At 39.4% G+C, this 26,474-nt stretch overlaps 1 protein-coding gene across 13 annotated transcripts in view, besides 3 other annotated features; it reads right to left on the reverse strand.

Annotated features, from left to right (window-relative positions):
• The window catches only part of RRAS2 (RAS related 2), an 86,587-nt gene that overhangs the window by 24,939 nt on the left and 35,174 nt on the right, over positions 1-26,474 (reverse strand). Inside the window, exon 1 of one of the 13 annotated variants that reach the window (NM_001440712.1) lies at positions 22,307-22,420. The exons of the other annotated variants lie outside the window; for them this stretch is intronic. The gene's annotated coding sequence lies outside the window, so the exon portion shown is untranslated. Of the gene's footprint in view, positions 1-22,306; positions 22,421-26,474 lie in introns of those variants that run through there. 13 annotated transcript variants of the gene reach the window in all.
• Positions 6,109-6,238: an enhancer, noted in NCBI's record as "active region_4469". NCBI's record gives its function as "activates an Ori minimal core promoter by ATAC-STARR-seq in GM12878 lymphoblastoid cells {active_cell/tissue: GM12878}" and the evidence as "EXISTENCE:reporter gene assay evidence [ECO:0000049][PMID:35858748]".
• Positions 9,851-9,900: an enhancer, noted in NCBI's record as "active region_4470". NCBI's record gives its function as "activates an Ori minimal core promoter by ATAC-STARR-seq in GM12878 lymphoblastoid cells {active_cell/tissue: GM12878}" and the evidence as "EXISTENCE:reporter gene assay evidence [ECO:0000049][PMID:35858748]".
• Positions 20,452-20,531: an enhancer, noted in NCBI's record as "active region_4471". NCBI's record gives its function as "activates an Ori minimal core promoter by ATAC-STARR-seq in GM12878 lymphoblastoid cells {active_cell/tissue: GM12878}" and the evidence as "EXISTENCE:reporter gene assay evidence [ECO:0000049][PMID:35858748]".

The following is a 26,474-nucleotide window of genomic DNA, read 5'->3' on the forward strand; positions in this document are numbered from 1 at the left end:
CACAGTTCTATCAGTTTGCCAGCTGTGGGAAACTAGAGTAGCTCACTTAACCTGTTTGAACCTCAGTTTCCTTGTCTATGAAATGAAAATCACACCAACTTTGCAGGATTGTTGTGAAAAGTTAAAAATACTCTATGTCTATGTAGAGTACAAAGCCCAACAGATGACACACAGTAGGCCCTTAATAAATTATAGCTGATAAAGCCCAAATCACATCTTGCTTTCTTTGCAATGCTTTCAACACTCCAACCAGAAAACAATCTCAATATTCTCTTACCCTTAAAGTGACAACAGTTTGGATTTTTCTCAACTTCTGTCTTATTAGTAATAAGTTGTGATTTGGAAAATACATATACCAAGCTTAATGTATACTATATAATTGCTACTTACAATTTCCTTTTACAATTGCTTATCCTTTCATGTATGTGTCTAAGTGAATGTATGAATAACTGATATACTGAGTTAAACTCAATGGGTATAAGCATAAAACTTTCCCTCCAAGCCCCTCTGTGGGAAAGTTTTTCCTTGTTCCTGAATGAAATCTAAGGCAAGTCTCATAATTTTTTAAAATCATTCTTTGACTATAAATATATTTAGGCCAAACACAACAGTTCATGCCTGTAATCCCAGCCCTTTGGGAGGCAGAGGCAGGAGGACTGCTTGAGCCCAGGAGTTTGAGACCGGCCTCAGCGACAGAGAGAGACCCCCATCTCCACAAAAAGGGGGGAAAAAAGTTTAAATATCCTTCAGCCCCAAGAACACCATAGTTTCAATAACTGTCTTAACTGCAGTAATCAATACTCATCTAAATTAAAGCTTCTCCCCTTCCTTGGTGGAGCTGAGAAGTCTAGTTGGGCTGGGGGATGTGAGGGGTCCTGTCATCATCTCTCTCTCCCTGCTCTGCATCTCTTCTACCCACAACAAGGCTGTCTCTGGCTCCTTCAGAGTGGGAACTGAAGCAGTGGGAAAAGCTATGGGGGTGTCAAAAGGCCACACCAATTAAGTGTGATGTTCATACCAACTTTTTCATGAGGGCCCTCCATACTCAATTCCCAGAACTTAAGTGAGACCTGGCCATTTACAACTCCAACCCTCCACCTCTGGGGTTTCCATGGGTACCTTCCTCCTGGTTCATGTCACCTTCTAGGTGGCCGAGCACAGTGTCCCTTTCTAGATGGCTTTAAGCTGGTTTCACCCAGCAGCCTGAGGAAACACTAACGTCTTTCTAAGTACAAAGTGCTAACATACAGCCCTCTCTGTGCTCTGCTGCCTCAGGGCTACTGATCCATAGATTTGTATACTAAACCTTTCATTCCCCAAACTCGAGGGGATACATGTCAAATTCTCAGAATGACTCCATTGGAGCCTCCCTCATCATTTGGCTTAAATGAAAGGGGCTTAAGGAGAAGCATCTTTCTCCTCTCCTCCACTACGTGTGGAAGCAGGAAAGGACACCAAACATACAACATACTAATAGCTCTTTCCAAAAACATTGTCTTAGAACCCTTAATAATCTCAACACTTTTATTCCCTAGAGGTAGGTATGGGCTACATGTGCAAAACCAGTTTAAGGCTACCCACTATGCAAGTTCTTGGAATATGAGGATAACTTGGCACCTACTGTTTTATTCTGTCTTTTGGGTTTCAAAAGAAGCTAAAATGAATTAGAGTTCCAGTTAAAATTGTGTTATATGTATGTCCCAGGACATATAAAACTCGATTTACATGCTCAAGGTTTTTAAAACTTTCCTGAAGCTAAGTAATATACTTGCACACAGATCTCAAAGTAGGGGAGGACTGCAGTGGGGAAAGAAGAATTAATTTCCCCAAGCACAATAAGGACCTAGTTAGCCATTGGTAGCCTCCATTTTCTAAAACAAGAGCAGAGCAAATTCCTCTGGTAACACTAGAGAAGACTGCAGCAACTTCAGGCAGCTGTGAGCCAGAGCTGGGCTCCTCCTTGTGTCACTTTTTAGCAGCAGCTGTCATGTCACAGAGAACCTTTGTTCCCTGCAACATCCTCCCTTATTTTTTTTGTCAAATGTTTCCAATATGCTTGATATTCCTTCACTGAAGTATAGCTTTTGACTGAAATTAGTATTTCATTTAATCTAACATGTACAATTATATATGTCTATAATTTAATCCCCAGAACTCTAATGCAGAATAATAAAAGCTACACTAAATCCAGTAATCCTTTTAGTTCCTTTTTAACAAAATTTAGTGAGGTCTTCAGTGTTGCCAGTTGTCTCAGACTGCCTAAAGCAACCATGTGCCTTCATTTGCCTTCCATACATTTTCAGCTAATATATATGTATTACCTCACATATAGTATTTAGTTGCAAATGAATGGGCCTGGTATGTGCCAGCAGAAAGTACAGTACAAAGTCAGCTTACAAACTGGTTCTATGACAAAAGTCTGTTTATAAGTTATTTGGAGTTTTTTCCTAAATTGCAGGTATATTCGGAGGCCAAACCACAAAAGCTACTACTGGATATGGCCCTGCCAGTATCAGCCCCAAGTTCCAACCTCCAAAGCACGGTAATTTTTCCTAAGAAGAAATGGGAAGAGAATTTCTTTTCCTTTTCCAGAGGACAGAGCCAGGCCTAAACAAAACTTGTATAGAGGGAAAGCTTGTCTTTGGGGTACCACTTGTATACCCCAGCCTTCTCAGCCTGACCTAACTCCCCACTCCAATAGCTTTCCCTGGGTTTAGCCTTCTTCTGAAAACATTCTAAGTACAAAAACACTGTATCTCTCTTCCCACTGTCCTCAAATTAAAACCCTCAAGAGATATTCCTTGAATTCCCAAATTAAAACCCACAGACACATTCCCACTAGCAGTGTTTGGGGGTTCCAATTTTTCAATATCCTCACCTAGACCTGTTATTAAACTCAGTCTTGGCCGTGCGCGATGGCTCACACCTGTAATCCCAATACTTTGGAAGGCTAAGGCAAGAGGATCACTTGAGCCCAGGAATTCGAGACCAGCTGGGCAACACAGTGAGACCCCCATCTCTACAAAATATTTAAAAATTAGTCAGATGTGGTGGTGCGTAACTGTAGTCCCAGCTATGTGAGAGGCTGAGGTAGGAGGATCACTTGAGCCCAGGAGTTAGAGGCTGCAGTGAGCTGCGACCGCACCACTGCATTCCAACCTGGGCTACAGACTGAGATCCTATCCCCCACCGCCGCCCCCACCCCAACAAAAAAAGAATTTTTTTTTTTACAACAGACACCCTACGGATGTAAAATAGTCTCTCACTGCAGTTTTAATGTGCATTTCCCTAGTGGGATGTTGAGTACCTTTTTGTGTGCTTATTGGCCATTTGTATATCTTCTTTGCAGAAATGGCTACTCAAATCGTTGCCCCTTATTAAATTTTATCTTATCATTGAATGTAAGAGTACTATATTCTGGATATAAATCCCTTATCAGAAATATGATTTACAAATATTTTTTCAATGGTTTTCATTCATTCCTTCATTTATAGAGATGTGATCCCACTATGTTGTCCAGGCTGGTGTCGAACTCTAGGCTTAAGGGATCCTGCCATCTCAGCCTCCTGAGTAGCTGGGACTACAGGCATGCATCACTGTGCCCAGATGATTTGCAAATATTTTCTCTCATAGCCCCCTTCTTATAAAGCCTTCCTGCCATAAGTGAGTACATAGTTCCTAAATCTCAACTGTGGGGCGAAGTCTTATTACCCACCAACAACTCTCCACAATTCCAATTCCACATACCCAGGATTTTGGGCAATACCTGCTCCTGAGCCATCAATCAGTTGTACTAGCCTCCCACTAGGTGGCTGTTCTACTGGGCTGACTGCTGATCTAGAATGAAACTTCCCTCACTGTAACTATCCCTCTAACACCCCATTCCCTACCCTGAGCTTTTCCTATCACACTGAGCTTCAGCCTATACCATGCCCTAGCATAGTTCACTTGTCCCAGTATGTGAATTTACCCTTTTTCATCAAATCTAAGATGACACTGATTGTAAGACCATCATTATTTTATGTGCCAAGATAAAAAAAAAAAAAAAAAGGCCGGGCGCAGTGGCTCACGCTTATAATCCTAGTACTTTGGAAGGCCAAGGTGGGTGGATCACTTGAGGTCAGGAGTTCAAGACCAGCCTGGGAAACATGGTGAAACCCAGTGTCTACCCAAAATACAAAAATTAGCAGGGCATGATGGCACATGCCTGTGGTCCTAGCTATGTGGGAAGTTGAAGTGGGAGGATCATGGGAGCTCGGGAAGTCAAGGCTGCAGTGAGCAGTGATTGTGCCACTGCACTCCAGCCTGGGTAACAGAGGAGACCCTGCCCCCTCCCCCAAACCAAAAAAAACAAAAAAAAACAAAAAACAACAACAACAAAAAAAAAGCAGAAAAAGGAAGAGGGAAAAAAAAACTGCTACCAATACACTCATGACATGCCTTTGACTATGAAGCATCTCAATTTCAGATATACTAAAATGTACGGGGGGAAATGTGATGAAATACAATAGTTCAAGACAACCGTATTGGTAAGGCTAGTTTTTGAGACAGAATATCTCATTTTGTCGCCCAGGCTGGAGAGCAGTGGTGCAATCTCGGCTCAATGCAACCTCCGTCTCTCCCTGGTTCAAGTGATTCTCCTGCCTCAGCCTCCCGAGAAGCTGGGATAACAGCGCCCACCATTTTACAGATGAGACCATTGAGGCTCAGCAGTTAAATAACCTGCCAAAGGTCACAAAGTGGAACTGGGATTCCAATCAGGTCTAACTCCAATGCAATACTCCTTCCATTATACTTTCTTTAACCTGCCATACTAACATAGCACATAGCCTGCGACAGTTTAAAAAAAAAAATCCTGGTACCCCTTAAAATAAGTGATTCATTATTTTTTTAAATTATAAACTGCTACTGCCAAATAGAAAAGTAAAGTCGTTTCATTAAAAATGGAAACGCCCCATTTGTAAGTTACGAGTAAAGGTGTAAGTAGGTCATTTTTTTTTAAATACACAAAGATACTGTTTGACCCAGCAATTTCAATTCCAGAAACTTATCCTGCCGATAGGTCTGCACATATAAGAAATGATATGTACAAGGTTGTTCATAGTGAAATGTCTTTAAAAGACTGGAAACACAATGTGCTTCAGCAAGGACAATGTCATTCAGCAAATGCCTGGTTAAATTACGAAAGGTTCATTCAATATGAATATAACCATTAAAAAAAGGAATGACTTCATGCATTAATATACAGCAATCTGCAAGATATGTTGTTAAATACCCACAGTTTATGTATTTGCTTTATGTGCACAAAATATCTCTGGAAAGATACACAAGAAACTGATTAACTTTACCTGTGGGTTTAACTGGGTTGCTAGGAGATATGGATGGAAGGAAAACAATTCTTGTAGCTTTCAAATTTGAAATACATGAATGAAAGAAGGAACCCAAGAGTTTCGAAAGACCTAGACAGATTAAACATAAACTCTTTAGTAATAAAAGCTAGATTCTAGTCCCAGCTATACAAACAACTAGCTCAGTGCTCCTAGATGAGTAAATCTCTTAAACCTCTTTCCTGGCTCTCACCTATAAATGAGGGGTTTGCCCTTCATGACCTCTTTAAGACTCTTTCCAGCTATATAATTTTATTATGACACGTTTAGCTCCTACAATATGCCAAATATAATTTATAGGTGCTATCGAGGACTTCCTTGTTTTAAATTTGTGGAATACAGCAAAATATCATATTTTAAAAGAGGAAGATTTGCTTGAAGCCCTACCTCTGCTACTTTATAGCTGTAGGATTTGCAGTAAGTCACTCCTCACTGACACCAAATTTAATTACTTGCAAAGCTGAGAGACACTTTCAAGAGTTTTTTACAAGGAGTAAAACGTGAACATTTTCTGTACTTTACAGCTCCACATGAAATGTGAACTACTGCACACAGACTCCCCCTTCAGGTGCTATGAAGTAAAGAGCATGTATTTTAGAGGCAGTCAGACCTACATACCCCGCTTAATTGCTGTATCATCTTGGGAAAGTTATTTAATCTCTTAAGTCTCAATTTCCTCACCTAAAAGATGATCATAATGATTCTTACTTGAAAGGGCTATTGTGAAGATTAAATGATATTGTTAAGTACTCAGTACACTGCTTAACTAAAACTGAGTATTCAAAAATTGGCTCTTTTCCTTTCCAAACTTAGAAATGGAAGGGTGCCCCATAAACAGGTAGGTAACCAACTCACTTCTAGTTGTAACTTTTGCTTCCCAGAGTCTAGACTGTTACTTCCATTTTCACTTCCTCTCCCCTCTATCCCGTTACCTACCAATATCCTAAACCCCAATTTCATTTCTCACCTCTTCTAGAACAGAGAATGGTCTGTAGAAGCAAAACTAGAATTAAAGGGGGTGATTTCCACAGCACATGTTCTATTACTAAACTGCTAAAACTGCCACAAGAATCTTCCCTAGGCTCACTCACCACCCCACTTAATCTACAAATACTAACTGAACACCTATAATGTGCCAAGCATTGTGTCAGGAGCTGAGGATCTAATCCCCAGGCTCTTAGAGGGCTGGCAGTTTCTTGAAGTATTGACCATCAATAAATAAGCAAACATAATACATCAGAGGTGATAGGAACTCTGAAGAAAAATGAAGGGGGCTGGCAACAGCAGGAGTTGGAGGGGAGGATATGATACTGCATAAGATAGCCAGAGAAGGCTCCACGCACAATGTGACACTGGAGAAGGGAATCCTGGATCAACTGAAGGAGTGAGCCATGCTGTGATCTAGAGTATCATTCCAGGCAGAGGGAACATTAAGTTAAAGGCAGTGCGGTGAGAGTACTGTAACATGTCTGAAGAACAGCAAGACAGCCAGTGTAGCTACAACAACAAACATGAGAGAGTGGTTAATGAGTTCAGAAAATTAACAGGGAGGCAGGCGGAGACTTGCAGGCCAGAGTGAGGACTTCAGATTTTATTCAAAGTGAAATGAAAACCACTAGAGGGTCTGAGGCAGATGAATAAAATGTTCTGACTTTCATATGAAAAGTAATACTGGCTGCAGTCAGAAGACTGGATTATAGGTCAAGGGTGAAATCAGAGACTACTTAAGAAGCTATTACAATAAATCATGAAAAGAAAATTGCAGCTTGAAGGGAGGTGACTGGAATGGAGGTGTAAAGTGGCCAGATCCGTGTTTACTTCCAAAGGAGGGCCAACAGCATTTGCAGATAAACTGGATGTAGATACAGAGTCTGTCAGAAAAGACTCAAAGATGATGCCAAGTTTTTCTGCCTAATTAACTGTAAGAATGGTGGTACCATTTATTGGGCTGCAACAGGCTGGTGGGGTAGAGAATGGAGGAAGAATACAGAGTGGTTTTGTACATGTTCTGTTAAGACACTTATTAGACACCTACAGAAATGAGTCTGGGATTCACTGAGAAGGTGGGGCTGAAGACAAATTTGGGAGTCAGGAGATAGATGGTATTGTCACAAGACGAATCAGACAGAGAAAACAACAGAGACTGGGACCTGGGGTACTTCACTGTTGGGAGGTCAGGAAAATGAGAAAGATCTAGGCAAGGAAACTGAGAAGGAGCAGCTAAAAGTAGGAAGAGAACAAAGAAAATGGTAGCCAGGAGGCCAAGAGAAGAAAATAATTTAAGAAGGAGCGAAAGATAAGGGTTGCTGATAGGTCAAGTAATCATAATAACAGTGACAGCAAGCACTTACATGACATTTACTATATACCAGGCACTGCTCTCTCTCTACAGATAAGGAAAAAAAGAACTGAAAGATTAAGTAGGGTGACCATATAAGTTACTGATAAACTGGGACTCAAAGAGGATGCTAATAATAATTACATCAGGACAACAGGCATAAACCAGGACTTTCCTAGGCAAGTAGACATATGGTCACCCTAAGGTTATGCATCTCTCTTAGGCATGGAAGGAATTCTTCCTTGTTTCTTATTCAGTGTTCTAATTGTAACCTATTGTGTGGCTACTGCTTTCCTTCCCAGCCTTGCATGCAATGGACAGACAGGTTCTGATACTTCCTTTCAAAGGGATTAGCCAAGAACCATCCCACAGAGGAAATCAAAACAGTGTGTGCATACACACTGCTTCTGATACTTTTTTCAAAACTCTGTGGCAAAGGATTTTTCACTGATTCGAGGAGAAACAAATTTAAAAGCATTTTAGGCCAGAAGCAGTGGCTCATGCCTATAATGCCAACACTTTGGGAGGTCAAGGTGAGAGGATCGCTTGAAGCTAGGAGTTTGAGACCAGCCTAGGCAACATAGCAAGACCTATAAAAAAATAACCTAAAAATTGACCCGGTGTGGTGGGGTACACCTATAATCCAGCTACTCTGGAGGCTGAGGCAGGAGGACCACTTGAGCCCAGCAGTTTCAGGCTACAGTGAGCTATCATCATCAGACCACTGCACTCCAGCTTGGGCAACAGAGCGAGAATCTGTCTTTAAAAAATAAAAATAAAATAAAAAAGTACTTTATTTTATTTTGAGACAGAGTCTCTCCAGCCCAGGCTGGAGTGCAGTGGCACAATCTCGGCTCACTGCAACCTCTGCCTCCCTGGTTCAAGCAATTTTCCTGCCTCAGCCTCCCAAGTAGCTGGGATTACAGGCACGTGCCAACACGCCAAGCTAATTTTTGTATTTTCAGTAGAGACGGGGTTTCACCATGTTGGCCAGGCTGGTCTTGAATTCCTGATCTCGGGTGATCCGCCCACCTCAGCCTCCCAAAGTGTTGGGATTACAGGCACGAGCCACTGCGCCTGGCAACATAAAAGTACTTTAAATGTATTTAAGAAAATATAGGTCAGTTATACTGGAAAATTATTTCAATAATATATTTTAAAATGTGCTTGTTTCACAAGAACATAGCCATGAATGAAGGAAATTAACACTGCAAACTACGAAAGTTACATAAACATACACACACAAACAAGATATGTCATGGTAGCTTTGTTACTGTGAAAAACTTTTTTTTTTTTCTTGAGATAGAGTCTCACTCTGTTGCCCAGGCTGGAGTGCAATGGCTCAGTCTCGGCTCACTGCAACCTCCGCCTCCCAGGTTCAAGCAATTCTCCTGCTTCAGCCTGCTGAGTAGCTGGGATTACAGGCACCTGCCACCACACCTGGCTAATTTTTGTATTTTTAGTAGAGATGGGGTTTCCCCATGTTGGCCAGGCTGGTCTCAAACTCCTGACCTCAAGTGATCCACCCACCTCGGCCTTCCAAAGTGCTGGGATTACAGGTGTGAGCCACTGTGCCCGGCCTGAAAAACTCTTAATAGCCTAAATATCCCTAAGGGGAGAACACGGACTAGTTACATGAATTACAGCATATCTATCACAGCATAGCAAACAGCCATTGAAAAGAATAAGACACGTCTTGAAATGCCACATAGATTTCAAGAGCATCTATGATATACTATTCATTTGACAAATAGTTGTTGTGTACTTAATACCTACAAGCTAGGATATGGTTCTGAATAAGAATAAAACCAGCATAATTCAGGCACTTGTTTTTTGTTTGTTTTTTGTTATTTTTAGAGACAATCTTGCTCTGTTGCCCGCACTGAAGTGCAGTGGCCCGATCACGGCTTACTGCTGGCTTGAACTCCTGGGCTCAAGTGCTCCTCCCACCTCAGCCTCCTGAGTAGCTGGGACTGTAGGTGCATGCCACCACGCCTGGCTAATTTTTTCATTTTTTTGTAGATATGAGGTCTCACTATATTCCCCAGGCTGGTCATCAACTCCTGGCCTCAAGTAATCCTACCACCTAGGACTCCCAAAGTGTTGGGATTACAGGTGTGAGCCACTGCACCCAGCCAGTTCTGGCACTTGTGGAGCTATGTTTTAGTGAAGACATATAGGTCTATGGCACAATAAAATTCAAAAAAGCAATCTCACACCTGTATCACTGTTGTTTTACTTTCCTAATAATACGAAGAACTAAATTCCTCATCAAGTTCATCTCAAAATGGGAAAGCAGCAGCAGCAAATGTTCTCAACCAGAGATTCCCTCCAAACCACATGCCTGGAGGCCGGGCCAGCACTTCTCTGAAAGTGGCTGTCTATTCACACCAAGGACAACCAGTCTTACTTTTGATTACTTAACCTCATTCTACCAGCAATTCTGTTTTTATAAAATATCTTATGGCACACAAATTTAAATCAGACTAGGTCGCTAGGGATAATTTTAAACTTTTATGTGGAGACAAACATGATTCATATCAAAAGGAACTATAAACATTTATCTTATAAAAATACCCAAGTACGTAGGTTTAAAAAGTCAAGAGCTAAACAGCACATGTTCACAGAATTTAAGACCCTGCTCACACCATTTAGAGACACAAATTATAGCTTGTCTGTATGTGCTCAGCCTAATTCATAGTAAAAGAATGCCACATCAATTGTAAACCACATGAAAAGAAAGTAAACATGTAACTCTGAATCACATTTATATGCATATAATATAGGTCAGATTCTATAGCTATTATTGCATTTAGTAAAAGTACTTTCATAGTGCTTATTTGCAAATGCAGGAAGAGGCTTGCTCACTGTAGTGGCCTGAATGGTGGCATCCAAAAAAGATATATCCAACTCCTAATGCCTGGTACCTATGAATATGACCGTATTTGGAAATAGGGTCTTTACAGTTATTAAAGTGAGATGGCCCTGGACCTAAATCCAACCACTGTTGTCCTTATAAGAGAAAGGAGGGTGAGATGCAAAACACAGAAAATAACCCAGAGAGGAAGGCCACATGAAGGCAGAGGCAGAGATTGGAGGGATGCATCCACAAGCAAGCCAAGGAGCACAAAGGGCTGCTGATAAGCACCAGAAGCCAGGACAGAGGCATGGAAATGATTCTTCCTCAGACTCCAGAATCAACCAGCACGACAACAACTTGATTTTGGAGTTCTGACCTATGAAAAAATAAATTTCCCTTGTTTATACCACCAAGTTTGAGGTGGTTTGTTACAGCAGACCTAGGAAATTAATATACACATCTAAAATAGTCATTTGTTTACAATGCAGTAAGTCTCAAGAGCAATCAGTAAAGAAAAAAGAATTTAGCAAGTATTTTTAATTTATTATGTTATAAAACAACACATCTTCATTGTAGAAAATCTGGAAAATCATTAGAAAAAACTATAAAATTCACCTTTAGAACCAAAGCCCATCTTCACAATCTCTCAACTTTAAAATGTGAAACTAGACATGTATTTTCTAGCCTGTGAGCTAAATAACCTGATCTTAAATTGTTCAAATAATGTCCATCATTAAATGCCTTTGTTTACAATTAGGTTTATATGGCACTTACACAACTATGAAATTGAGAGTCTATGATGGAAATTCTGATCTAATTTTAACATAAGCCTTATAATTGAAACATACAAATGGGAACTACAAGGAGAGTTTTATTGTCATGGGGGTTTCCAGCGAGGTGCTTTCCCTTGATCATTTTGGGTCCTAAACTGTTCTGGTCTCTAATCATAATTTACATATCAACCAAATCCTCAATTTTAGAAATAATATATGCAGAAATAAGAAGTGCAGAAAAGCAATAAATGCAGAACAAAATATTAACGAATTTTATTCAAGAGCTCTTGACTAATGTTCTTCCACATTTCCATTACATTTTTTTCAAAAAATAATTATCAATTAGATGCCATAAAATAAAGAGGAACATCTAACAGCTGCCATGTAATAGCAAATGTTGAAATACTGAGAATGAAAAATAGCTTGAAAATTATTGCCAAACCAAATCTTTGAATGCAGGCACATGGTTTTTTTGTAGTTTTTGTTTTGTTGAGATGGAGTCTCACTCTGTCGCCCATGCTGGAGTGCAGTGGTGCGATCTCGGCTCACTGCAACCTCCGCCTCCAGGTTCAAGTGATTCTCCTGCCTCAGCCTCCAGAGTAGCTGGGACTACAGGCACACGCCACTATGCCTGGCTAATTTTTGTATTTTTAGTAGACCAGGTTTCACCATGTTGGCCAGGCTGGTCTCAAACTCTTGGCCTCAAGTGATCCGCCCGCCTCAGCCTCCCAAAGTGCTGGGATTACAGGAGCCACCATGCCCAGCCAAATGCAAGCACATGTTTTAATATTTCATTTAAATAGCCATGGTTTTTGTTATAAAAAGCAAAAGTCTCACTAACTCCAGGTAAATTTTTAAACTAAGCCTCTACTATTTAAATGTTTATTCAAAATTAGACAGCATCCTCATTCCGTAAGTGTGAGCTGCACATAAGGACTTCCTTCCAAAGAATACAATATGGAAAAGGGTTGGGGCAGGGAGCAACTTCATAGTAGAGAAACCAGACAAACATTACCTCAGCCAGATGATCAGGGTCAGCATCAACAGTTACAAATCACGCTGACAGCATGTACTCTTGATATAATGTGATGAAAACGGTACTTCACCTCTGTGGTCTTCCTAACCCAAAACCCATAACCCTACACCTGTCATGAGAAGAACACTAGACACATTCTAATAGAGGGGCACTCTACAAAATACTTAATGAGTACTCTTCAAAATAGTTGGGTCATCAAAAACAAGGAAAGTCAGCCAAGAGGAGCCTAAGAAGGCATGACAACTAAATGTAATGTGTTATCTTGATGGGATCCTGGATCAGAAAAAGGACATTAGGTAAAAACTATGGAAACCTGAATAAAGTATAGACTTTAGCTAATAATAATGTATCCACATTGGTTCATTAATTCTAACAAATGTACCATACGTGTTAACAATAGAGGAACTAGGTGACAGATATATGGGAAGTTCCTATACTATCTTCTCAGGTTTTCTGTAACTCTAAAGTTCTTAAAGTCTACTAAAAAAAAACTACATGGCAGTCATTTCTAAAAAATGCCAACTGAGGTTCTGGATAAGACTTTTCTAATCACCCACATGTAAAAGCTTAAATTTAATTAAGGAAAACAACTAGACCCACTAAACAGTTTCTAGCACTAAAATTAAATCCACATTTTAGGGTACTCAGAGGCAAGATAAAGGGAGACCAGATCAACTCCACCTTTTTAAGCAAACATTTACTGTGATAAGAATGTAAAAATTCAGTCTCAAAACCACAGAGCTATTAAAAACATTAATTTTAAACTAATAAAAAGACAAAAAAAACGTAGTTCAGAAGAGATTTTAAAGCAGAAAGCCCAGATCAGAAACCCATAACAGGAAGTTTGGTCCTTCTTCCACCATCTTGGACTAAAATTTTACGTCTCTGAACATATTTGACTGTTTCCTCATTTACATAATGGAAAGTGACAATCGCACAGTGCAATATCCAAAAGATGCTCAAAAAATAGCCTGTCATAAATAAAAATATAAAATTCTTAGTCTTTTTACTTCACTCACATCTGCTAAAACCAATGCTTTCTTGGTGAGGTATGCATCAGTCTGAAGAGAATCAACCAAAAGAGAAAGACAGAAGGGGTACAAAGGAGGGAAAAGTAGGAATAGCATTTAACTATGTATATTAGCATTTTCCAGGCCCTCCTTTTTACAGTTTTTACATCTCCCCCTGCAAAAGTATCCTGATGAGGCCAGGTACAGCAATCCATGCCTATAATCCCAGAACTTGGGGAGGTTAAGGCAGGAAGATTGCTTGAGCCCAGGAGTTCAAGACTGGCCTAGGCAACATAGCAAGACCCTGTCTCTACCTACTAAATAAATAAATAAAGCCAGGCACGGTGGTACACCTCTGTAGTCCTAGCTAATTGGGAGGTTGAAGCAGGAGGATTGCTTAAGCCCAGGAGGTCAAGGCTGCAGTGAGCTATGATCGCACCACTGCACTTAGCCTGGGTGACAAAATAAGACCCTGTTTCAAAACAATCCAAAAACAGTGTCCTAATGAAACTCTCATTTCAACTAACACTTATTAAGATATCCCGAAAATTGTTACATTGTAATTCACCAAACTTTGGGTTCTACTGCAAATGAGACATTGGAAATAACAAAAATAAATGACTATCAGTTCCTGCCTTCAAGGAGTCTACTTATAGTCAAGTAGGAGGCAAGACAAGAGAACAAATAACCACCTTTTGTTGACAGGAGGATGACATCAATTAGAAAATGCACCTAATTACAGAGGTGTTAAAATAAGAAATTTTTTAATGTGTGCCTTAGAATGAAGGAGATACTATAGTTTCTGTGTGGTAAGAGTAAATTTAGAAAAAGGTACTATGGAGGCATAGATGTTAATGTACTGCCATTTAACACTGCTACCCTTATAGGTGTTGGGTGGAGTTCCACAGATTCTCAATCATCCAAGTTATGGAAGAAGAGAATTCAAAACGTATACACCTTACCAAGAACAGACGTGTTTGCAAAATGCAAGACAGACCTGTAAAGATGCAGAATATCTGTATTAATAAAATCTTAGGCCGGGCATGGTGGCTCACACCTGTAATCCCAGCACTTTGGGAGGCTGAGGCAGGTGGATCACCTGAGGTCAGGAGTTCAAGACCAGCCTGGCCAACATGGTGAAACCCCATCTTTACTAAAAATACAAAAATTAGCCAGGTGTGGTGGTGGGTGCCTGTAATCTCAGCTACTCAGGAGGCTGAGGCAGGAGAATCGCTTGAACCCGGAAGGCAGAGGTTGTAGTGAGCCAAGACCGTGCCATTGCACTCCAGCCTGGGCAACAAAAGCGAAACTCCATCCCAAAATAAAATAAAATCTTAAAAGGCAAGATGAATTCATATTGACATTTCACTAAATTATTTGGGAAACAAAATTCAAAGGTAATTACTTTTAAGAAACGTAGCCTCTATCAACAAGAAGCAGATGATGAATGAACTTACTAGTTTTTCCTCTTGATCTTTCCCTACAAAACAAATCATTGCAAACTCTAAATGTACAAAGGGGAGCTGAGCACAGTGGCTCATACCTGTAATCTCAGCAAGTCAGGAAGCCAAGGCTGGAGGATCAATTCAGCCCAGGAGTGCAAGGCTGAGGTGAGCTACGATTGCACCACTGCCCTCCAGTCTGGGCAACAGAGTGAGAGAATGTCTCTAAATAAGTAAATAAATGTATGAAGAGGACAACTGTAAAATAAGCCACATTTCTAAAAGAGAATCAGGTCATTTTCAAACGGAGCAGGAAGAATAAAGGAATCATTTTCATGATATTTCCCCTCACTGTTAGGACTAAAGCTGTCCTTTATACAGGAAAAGGAAACCCTGTCTTCGCAAAATCCTGAAGGCTTTTCTATGTGTAAACCCTAGAGAAATACCTGTCAAATGAGTAACTATCCTAATAAATCCTATATGGATGTTCACTTCTTTTAATACTTGAGTGCAGCCGGGCGTGGTGGCTCATATCTGTAATCCCAGCACTTTGGGAGGCCAAAGCGGGTGGATCACCTGAAGTCAGGGGTTCAAGACCAGTCTGGCCAACATGGAAAAGCCCCATCTCTACCTACTAAAAGCACAAAAATTAGCAGGGCGTAGTTGCGCATGCCTGTAGTACTAGCTACTTGGGAGGCTGAGGCAGGATAATCACTTGAACCTGAGAGGCAGAGGTTGCAGTGAGCTGAGACCATGCCACTGCACTCCAGCCTGGGTGACAGAGAGAGAATCTGTCTCAAAACAAACAAACAAACAAAAAAAAAAACCTTGAGTGCCCAGGGATGAGATGGCACCTATTCAATTAACCATCCTGATAAGAAAAGCAAAACCCTTCTCTCACAGGAAGGCTCCTGAGCCCAGCCAGGTGCAGCACTACCTGTGTCTCCCAGTGCTGTAGTCATTCCAGCTCAGCAGGGCAGTGGAACAGCTGAGACAGAAGAAATGTTTCCTGAGGAAGGCAGAGTGTTTAGGAAAGATAACCCAAACACGGACATTTTGTACATTCTTTCAGTCCCCACTTTGGACTATTGAAAAGTAAATATAAATCAGACTTTTACAAAACTTAAGTATTAAACTTCAAATTCCTTCAGGGAAACATATCTGTATACTTTGACTCACACTTACTGACTTGGCAACAATACAGCTATCATTTACTATGTGTCAGGCACTAAGTGCTTTACCATATTAATTCATTGAAACCTCACAGTCCATGAAGTAGGTGGTCTTATTATCGTCTCCATCATACAGGTGAGGAAAGACTTTAAGTAACTTGCCCAGTCACGAGGCTAGTAAGCATGGAGCAGAAATTGATTCCCAGCAGTCTGGCTCAATTCTGTGCCCCAAATTACATCATTACAATGAGAGCTACCTTCAGAAAACAAAAATAAATGTATTGCCCCTGCTTTCTCTAGATTCATGGAGTAACATGTCCAGATTTTCTCAAATCCATCTCCCCATACACCTCCGTCAATCCTGACATTTGGCAATAATGCCAAGCAGGAAAAGAAGCTTTTCCCAAGGTATGTGAGTAAAACCTGTACTACAATAAAAATTATATTAACTATTCAGGTTCCCTCTGTCTTTTTTTTTTTTTTTTTTTTTTTTGAGACGGAGTCTCGCTCTGTCGCCCAGGCCGGACTGCGGACTGCAGTGGCGCAATCTCGGCTCAGTGCAAGCTCCACTTCCCGGGTTCACGCCATTCTCCTGCCTCAGCCTCCCGAGTAGCTGGGACTACAGGCGCCCGCCACCGCGCCCGGCTAATTTTTTGTATTTTTAGTAGAGACGGGGTTTCACCTTGTTAGCCAGGATGGTCTCGATCTCCTGACCTCATGATCCACCCGCCTCAGCCTCCCAAAGTGCTGGGATTACAGGCGTGAGCCACCGCGCCCGGCCGGTTCCCTCTGTCTTCTAAGAGCACAGATAACTGCAAGTTTACCATACATGATGGAGAATTTCTGCTACTTCCCCTGTAAAATATTTTCAAAATATCTTACTCACTCAACTGATAAAAGGTGATAAACCTACCTAAAAGACTTTTGGTGAAGAGAAGTAAGTATCAGTTGTATTTTTCAGAGCGCAGAAAAGTTGTGTGATCAAAACAACAAAAATAAGATTATAATTCCAGTTTACTGATGGACTCGAAAAACATATACGTTATAAAACAACTAAACAACTCAACTGTAGCTATGTTACATGTTTAAAATGAACTAATCATTGTAAAAATGTTTAAAGAATGGGAATGATAGCAGAAGAAAAATGTCACCATGAGAGAGTATAAAGATGGGTTAAAGGTTTTCTTCCTGCAAAACTCAATTTGTTTATTAAGTTGTAGCACTGCCCACCCACCGCACCCCACAAAAAAAGCCACATTCATTTGAGGTCACTTTACCTCCTGCTATTTCCTTTGCAGTGAGTCTGCAAAGTTCTAATGCACGGTGCTGATTTTATTCATTGAACAGAAAGCAATTGAGTGAAACATACAAGCAACTAAACCTTTGGCATCCTGTGAAACCACAAGAGAGCAAGATATTTTTTCCCAGGTTCTAACATCTTTTTAAAGCTGTTTTTTCAAATAGCAGTATGCCTAGAATGACTGCATGCTTGTCTAGAGTCATGTGCTCAGTACCAAAAGCCAGATCAATTGACTCTGAGACGGGAAAGTAATCAAGACAAAAAATTTTAATGGATGTCTTAATTTAAGCAGCTCTCATTTACTTATTCTTTCATTTAGCTAATTTCAATCTATAAACAAAATAAAAGCAGTAGACAGTTTTTCCTATGGAAACTCATTAACACAGCTTTCAGAGTTAAGCTTCAGCTTAGCCCAGATTCCCCTTAATCAATTATTTGTTGCTTTTAGAAAAGGTTGTGCAAAAACATTAGCTAAAACTGGTTAAAATTAAAGCACAGGGAAAGAACTTTTCTGAAAGATATTAAACATACTATTAATTTATTTTAAATAGGATGGATTGGTAAAAATAAAAATATAAAAGAACTTAAGTCAAAATTCATTGTTTAAGAACCTAACAATCATAAAGTCATATAAAGTAGTATGCAGTAAAATGTGGGAAAACTATAAAAATGTTAATTTTTATAGTAACTTAACACAACAATTTAAAAAAATGGTTGCAAATGGCTGGGCATAGTGGCTCACGCCTATAATCCCAGCACTTTGGGAGGCTGAGGTGGGCTGATCTCCTGAGGTCAGGAGTTCGAGACCAGCCTGGCCAACATGGTAAACCCCGTCTCTACTAAAAATACAACAATTAGCTGGGTGTGGTGGCAGGCGCCTGTAATCCCAGCTACTTGGGAGGCTGAGGCAGGAGAATCACTTGAACCTGGGAGGCAGAGGTTGCAGTGAGCCGAGATCGGCCAGTGCACTCCACCCTAGACAACAGACCAAGACTCCATCTCAAAAAAAAAAAAAAGATTGCAAATAAGTAAACACACGACGCACGTCAATATTTTAAAATCTTATGTCTATACCATTCCTCCTTCCCCTAACATGACTAGTCAACAGCAAATTTTAGGTGTTCTCAATAAATTTCCCTTGGTGAAATGGTGGTGGGACAGGGAAGGGAACTAACTCTACAAGGATGGCACGAAAGTCCCTCATTCTTTATACTCACTTAAAAGAATGATCAAAAATTGTCAAAACTTCTGAAGTTCTTGTATAGGGGTTGGGGGTTGGGGGCTACATTTGTTATTATTTTTGCCATGTCTTGTGTTTTGTGTTTGATCATCCAGGAGCAAGTGGGAGTGGGGAGAGCAGGGAAGCTGTTTACCTATTAAGACCACTTTAGCCTACCTATGATCACTTCTAGCCAGGTTGGATGGATCCTTCTTAATAAAGGAAATACCAGATTTAGCTCCCTTTCCACTATCCCTGGCTTGTTGCTGGCTGAAAATTCAGTCTCTAATTGAAAGTCTGACCCATTTCTGAAATTTTGCCTGTTCTGTGTTTTTATCACTAAATGCTCCCCTGCTTCCATTTAAGCTCACCCTTGTTTGAGTGAGGTGAAGACAACATTTGAAAATGTGTTTGGTTTTTTTGAACCCAATAATGCATTTAAAAGGTATATTTAATCCAGATCTAGTTATTAGTGGCTTCTGGTATAATTCCTCGTACTGTAATCATATGACAATGATTAGTTCATTATAATTAACTACAATTGAACTTTGTTTAGTACTTTTAAAATCCCATCTACCTAGCTATAATAAATCTATTGACTATATACTATTTAACAGTTACTATGCTAGACACTGTATAAAAAACAAAACACCACCAATAAAAGTGTTTGCCCCAAAAGAGATCACAATCTAACTGTCAAGACAAATATACCCAACAAAATAGGTGATAACTGCTATCAGGAAATATCAAATATGCTGGGCACAGTGGCTCACACCTGTAATCCTAGCACTTTGGGAGGCAGGGGCAGGTGTGTCACTTGGACTCAGGAATTTGAGACCAGCCTGGGCAACATGGTGAAACCCCATCTCTACCAAAAATACAAAAAAAAAAAAAATGAGCCCAGCATGGTGGTGCACACCTGTAGTCCCATCTACTTGGGAGGCTAAACTACGAGGATCACTTGAGTGCAGGAGGTTGAGACTGCAGTGAGCTGAGACAGCGTCACTGCACTCCAGCCTGGGTGACAATGTGAGGAGACTCTGTCTCAAAAAAAAAAACACAAAGAAATATCAAATGCTATACAAACACATTCCATCTAGGAAGACACAGCTAGCAACATTTCCTGCTTCTCTTCCTTGATGTTTAATTTCTTTCTTCCTATATTTCCCACAAATAACATTTTTTCCAAATTATTTACCTAAGAAAACCTTAATCATCCAACAAGTAATTCCTCTGTAATACGTATGTTATTGGCTAAATACAGCAATCCAGATCTATATCTATGTGTTAAAGTAGTCACAGTCTAATTTATCTTGAACTTATTAGGGAAGTACATAACAACCATTGTTAAAATTTTATCAGCCATACCCATCAAGATTCCGGATTAAATGTTAAAAATAAATGAAATCACAAACAAGTGAGCAAGAGGCTATAAAAAATGACCATCAATCCAATCAAGACAAATGTGAATTTAAAAAATAAAAAGTTAAAGAATGACCACTAAGATCTTAAGAGGAAACACACAGAACTTATGGAAATAAAAAATATAACCTAATGGTAAAAATTCAATAGATGGACTAAAAAGCGTATCTCTTCAAACACTGCTAAGGAGAACTAAAGGACAGACTATAGTGAACATAACTACAGCTAGAGGAGACATTTAAAAGAGAATACTATGAACAACTTTATGCAATAAATATGAAGCACAGACAAAATGGACATACGCCTAGAAAAATACAAACTCAAAATTGATTCAAGAATAATTAGAAGGCTGGGTACAGTGGCTCACACCTGTAATGCCAACACTTTGGGAGGCTGAGATGAGAGGATCACTTAAGCCCAGGAGTTTGAGATCAACCTGGGCAACATAGTGAGACTTCATCTCTACAAAAACAAAACAACAACAAAAAAACTAGGCCAAGCATAGCGGCATGCGCCTATAGTCCCAACAGCTTGGAAGGCTAAGGTAGGAGGATTGCTTGAGCCTGGGAGGTGGATGGTGCAGCAAAGTGAGATCACACCACTGCACTCCGACCTGGGTGACAGAGCGAGACCCTGTCTCAAAAAAAAAAGGATAATCAGAAAGCCTGAACAGCACTATGACTAATAAAGGAAGAAAAAATAAAATAAACTTCCCCCTCTTCCCCCCACCGGCACACACACAAACTAGGTCTAAAAGTTGTAAAAGCAAGGTCTACCAAACTTTCAGGAAACAAGTAAATCCAGTATCACACAAATTCTTCCAGAGAATAGAAAAGGAGGAAATACACCCCCCAAGTCATTTTATGAGGCCAGTATAATCTGGATACCAAAACCAGACAAGAACATTATTAAAAAATGAAAATTACAGGCCAATTTCACTAATAAACATACATGAAAAGAGTCCATATGCAAAATATTAACAAACAGAATCCAGAATCCAACAGTATATAAAAATATACATTATGACCAATATGTCCCAGAAATTCAGGAACAGAATATATAGACTTTTTTAAAATTATAAATATAATTCACCATATGAACAGACTAAAGAAAAACACTATAAGAGATATGGAAAAAGGATAAGAAAATGTCACATTTGTCTTAAAAAAAAAAAAACTATAGCAAACAACACTTTTTACAGTGAAACTCATTAAAATCAAGAACAAGTATGTATGTCTACTATTACCATATTTATTCAACATTACATTGGAGGTCCTAGTTAATTTAATAAGAAAATAAAGTGGTATACAAATTTTTAAGAATATATTTGATATGATTATCTGCACAGGAAACAATATACATAATAATTATTGGAATTAGAATTCAGCAAGGTATTTGGATATAAAAGTCTACATAGTCCCCTCAACCTGTCGAAAAAATAAACAGCAAAAAAAAATACCACTTCTGTATAAAGCTATTAGAAAGCTTAAGTCAAATAAAAGACACCATTTACAACAGCAACAGCAAATATATGATATGCAGGACTAACTCTAGTAAAAATATATTCTAGACCTTTAGGGAAAGAAATAATTAAGCTTTAAACAGAGGCCAAAAAAAAAAAAAAAAAGGAAAACGTATATGAGTGTAAAAGCATTCTCTTCATGGATAGAATTGTCAAGGTATCAGTGCTCCCTTAACTGACCCAATTTAAATTTGTTTTAACATTACTGGGTTTTTCATAGAATTTGACAAGCTGAACCTAAAATTTATAAGCAAGAAAATAGCCAAGAAATTGTTTATAAGTGTAAGAGTCATGAGAATTTTTTTGTTTTGCTCAATGCCATTTTCCCAGCACCTAAAAAGTTCCTGGCACATAGCAGTTGTCTCCAATATATGTGCTGAATGAATTTTTGAATGAACACAGCAGGGAAACTTATCCTACCCTCTACGAAATTTAGAATGGAAATGACACAAGAATAGGCAAAAAAGACAAATGGAACAAAACAGAAGGCCTAAAAATAAATCCACATGAATGAAATTCGATATATAAATAGAAGAGCAGATCATAGGGGAAGCATAGAACAGTACTCAAAAAGTGATGCTGGGATAACTAGTTTATGCATGTGGAAAAAAGCGAGATTGAGGGGAGAGATTATAAAGGGTTCATAAATCTCTAAGCACAGCCTGTATTATCTCTAGATTCTTCCTAGCAAAGCCTCACAAGTTTTACATTAAGATGCTATTCTAATTGAGAAAATATATAGTACCTCACCTGGAATGGTAATGCACAATAATATAAACACTTACTGCATGTTAGCTATCATCGTATCTGAGCCCTCAAACTTACCCTGATGTGAAGCCTTGCTTCACCACTTCCCAGCTTTGTCATTGGAGAAGTTACTTGAATTCACCTTGTCTTACCACAAAATGAGCTTGCACTAGCACTTACCTCAGCAAGAGTACTGTTGGGAGTTTCTTTTAATCCTTTTAGTATTTTTTTTTTTTTTTTTTTGAGACAGAGTCTCGCTCTGTCGCCCACGCTGGAGTGCAGTGGCGCGATCTTGGCTCACTGCAAGCTCTGCCTCCCGGGTTCATGCCATTCTCCTGCCTCAGCCTCCTGGGACTACAGGCGCCTGCCACGACGCCTGGCTTTTTGTATTTTTAGCAGAGAGGGGGTTTCACCTTGTTAGCCAGAATGGTCTCGATCTCCTGACCTCGTGATCCTCCCGCCTTGGCCTCCCAAAGTGCTGGGATTACAGGCGTGAGCCACCGTGCCCGGCTTCCTTTCAATATTTTTATTTTAGAATGGCATTAAGTTTGTAGATTAACAATTAGAATTGACACTGTTAAGAATCTGAATTTTCAGATCTGGAAATATAGTATGCTTTTCTGTTTAAGTCTTTGTCTTAAAAAAATTTAATGTTTGCTTTAAAATTTTGTATGGAAGACTGTAAAAAAAAATTTAACACACATTTTTTAAGTGTGTAGAAGTAGTCTTTTTGTTTGCTATTCTAAAAGGGGTGTCTTCTTCCATTGTATCTTCTACTTGATTTGTAAAAACTCTAAGTATTACATAAAATACTGTCCAATTGTGGAATGCAGTAGAGGCTGGGGAATGAGCAGCAACTGATAGCATTTTGAAGGAGGATCAAGTCTGGAATCTCACTATGCTTCTCTCATCTCCTTCCTTGAATTTAAGATGTTTTTTAAGAATATTACAGAATAGCATTCAGCAAAACATGGACGTGTACTAGAACCCCTTTGAGAGAACTTGGTTTTTTATTCTTGAATGGTGCTAAAAAGTGACCTTATTATCCCATAGCATGGAATCCAAAAATAGTAGTAAAGAAGGCTTCCACAGAATATGTGCAAATCTGAAAATCTCAGGGCATGTACCTAATGCTATATTTATTTTTCACAAAACCGGAAATAGTGACAGCTTAAAACAAGTAACTAGACTGTTATATAGCTTTTAAAATGCTGCTGCTATTGTGTAATTTTTAGCATTTTGTATATTGAATTTCTATGCCAGGAAGTATGCCACTGTTAACTATTTTACATGATGCCTAAATTTTATTTTAAATAAAAAGTTATCACACATATCAAACTCAACTACACAAATTGTTATACTAAAACATTTCAGGAAATATGTGCTTTCTAACGCTAATGAAGTTTTAGAAAAGATTGTAAATATACAAACATAAAATAAACAAGTATCACCAATTCTGAAATTTGTTAAATCAGTAAAAGAATTTTAAGGGGTAAAAGTTCTATATCTTTATACCAGCTGACTTGACAAAATTAAGAGTTCCAGTAAGAGCAAAATGTTGTCCTCTATTTGGGAGGGGGAGGGGACAGGGCACTGAGCAATCAAGCAGTTAAAACTCCTATGTCGTATCTTAAATCACTTATAACATCAAAAAGAAAGTAAACATTTCAATCCTATTAAGAATATGATTTTGGCCGGGCGCGGTGGCTCACGCCTGTAATCCCAGCACTTTGGGAGGCCGAGGCGGGCGGATCACGAGGTCAGGAGATCGAGACCATCCCGGCTAAAACGGTGAAACCCCGTCTCTACTAAAAATACAAAAAAATTAGCCGGGCGTAGTGGCGGGCGCCTGTAGTCCCAGCTACTTGGCAGGCTGAGGCAGGAGAATGGCGTGAACCCGGGAGGCGGAGCTTGCAGTGAGCCGAGATCCCGCCACTGCACTCCAGCCTGGGCAACAGAGCGAGACTCTGTCTCAAAAAAAAAAAAAAAAAAAAAAGAATATGATTTTGCTATTCTGTTCTGCTGTGGAAAACTAAGTAGTCACTTGTTTAAAAACTAAGATGAAGCAGACATAGCATAAACCAATTAAAATTAAATCAAAACAACAGTTTTAAGATGCAATATGCATACATGAATTTCTTAACAGATTATTATAGTTAAAATACCACTGAGTGTACTCACTTCAAGTGGTGTGTAAAAATAAAAATAGCTGAAGAGAGGATGGTCAAACCTCAAAACAAGTACTATAACCACCACCCAAAAATGCAAAATAAAGGAAGTTGTCTTCTTCAGAGTTAAGAGGAGGGGAAAAAATCTTTCTACTTACACATTGGGAGGAAGTGGGGATGGAGAGAAAGAAAAACAATTCCATGCCCTTCCTAAATGTTTAAGAACAAATGCAATTTATGTTACCTTCAGAAGCATTTTATCAGTACCCACAAAATTGCCTTTTAATTTGTACTAGTAAACTTACATTGCCTGAGCATCTTTCTCTACCCCCCTTTCTCTTCACTTGATTTCATGTGAAAGTCAAATTATTTGTATGACTGCTACCAGAATTTTAATAAAAATTGACACAACATAACCCAAACAATATAAATTTTCCCCTATTTAGCCAGACTCTAAATGCTTTAGGGAAAAAGAAAAACGTGCAGTACATAATTTAATTAGGTTCCAACAACTCTTCACAGATTCATATATACTTCTCACCTGTAACAACTCAATAGAGAAAAAAAATTCAAGGATGAAAAGGTTTTATTTACTTCTTTCCATACGGCAGGTAATGAGAATGGATGTTGTCTCTTACAAGACACAGGTCAAACATAGGAAAGCATGGAGGAAAAAACACAAAGAAGCCAAACTTAGACCAAATGTAGCTGTGACAAAGTTAAATGGCTTCATTAGAGAAAAAAAAGTCTTGACAGGATTTTCTAAAAATAAAATCTACCACTGTAGTGCTTACAAAGTACATAAGGCTAACAGTAAAGAGTGAGAAAAATGGCCAGGCGCGGTGGCTCATGCCTATAATTCTCGCACTTTTGGAGGCCGAGGCAGGCGGATCACCTGAGGTCAGGAGTTCGAGACCAGCCTGACCAACATGGAGAAACCCATCTCTACTAAAAATACAAAATTAGCCAGGTGTGGTGGTGCATGCCTGTAATCCCAGCTACTCGGGAGGCTGAGGCAGGAGAATCACTTGAACCCAGGAGGTGGAGGTTGCAGTGAGCCAAGATCGCACCATTGTACTCCAGCCTGGGCAAGAAGAGCAAAACTCCAACTCAAAAAAAAAAAAAAAAAAAAAGAGTGAGAAAAAATAATGTAGCAAATTTAGTCAAGCCAGGAAGACACGTGTAAAAACAATATCAAACATGGTAAAATTTATTTGGCAAGAGCTATAGTAAAATTTTAAGATGCCATTAGGCAACAGTAAAAATAATATTTAGGCAACAAAAAAGTATAAATCAATGTAAAAGCTTAGAAACACTAGAAGAAAAACAGCTATAGTATGTAAAGTAGTAAAAAATATATACATGACACAAAGTAATGACTAAAATTAATGCAGATGCAATACACATACACCAATTTTTTTTTTTTTCAACAAGAGTTTCGCTCTTGTTGCCCAGACTGGAGTGCAATGGCGTGACCTCTGCTCACCGCAACCTCCACCTTCTGGGTTCAAGCAATCCTCCTGGCTCAGCCTCCCCAGTAGCTGGGATTAGAGGCATGCGCCACTATGCCCAGCTAACTTTGTATTTTTAGTAGAGACAGGGTTTCTCCATGTTGGTCAGGCTGGTCTCAAACTGCCAACCTCAGGTGATCCACCGGCCTCGGCCTCCCAAAGTGCTGGGATTACAAGTGTGAGCAACTATGCCCGGCACATACACCAAATTTTATATATATGTGTGTGTGTGTGTGTGTGTGTGTGTATATATATATATATATACACACACACATATATATGTATATACACACACATATACATACACACACACACACACACACACACACACACGCATATACATATATATATATATTTTTTTTGAGATGGAGTTTCACTCCTGTTGTCCAGGCTGGAGTCCAATGGCGCGATCTCAGCTCACTGCAACCTCCCTTCGCCTCCCAGGTTCAAGGGATTCTCCTGCCTCAGCCTCCCAAGTAGCTGGGATTATAGGCATGAGCCCCCACACCCAGCTAATTTTGTATTTTTAGTAAAGATGGGGTTTCACCATGTTGGTCAGGCTGGTCT

The sequence above is a fragment of the Homo sapiens genome, chromosome 11, assembly GCF_000001405.40.
Source record: "Homo sapiens chromosome 11, GRCh38.p14 Primary Assembly".
In the NCBI taxonomy this organism is placed as follows: Eukaryota; Metazoa; Chordata; class Mammalia; order Primates; family Hominidae; genus Homo; species Homo sapiens.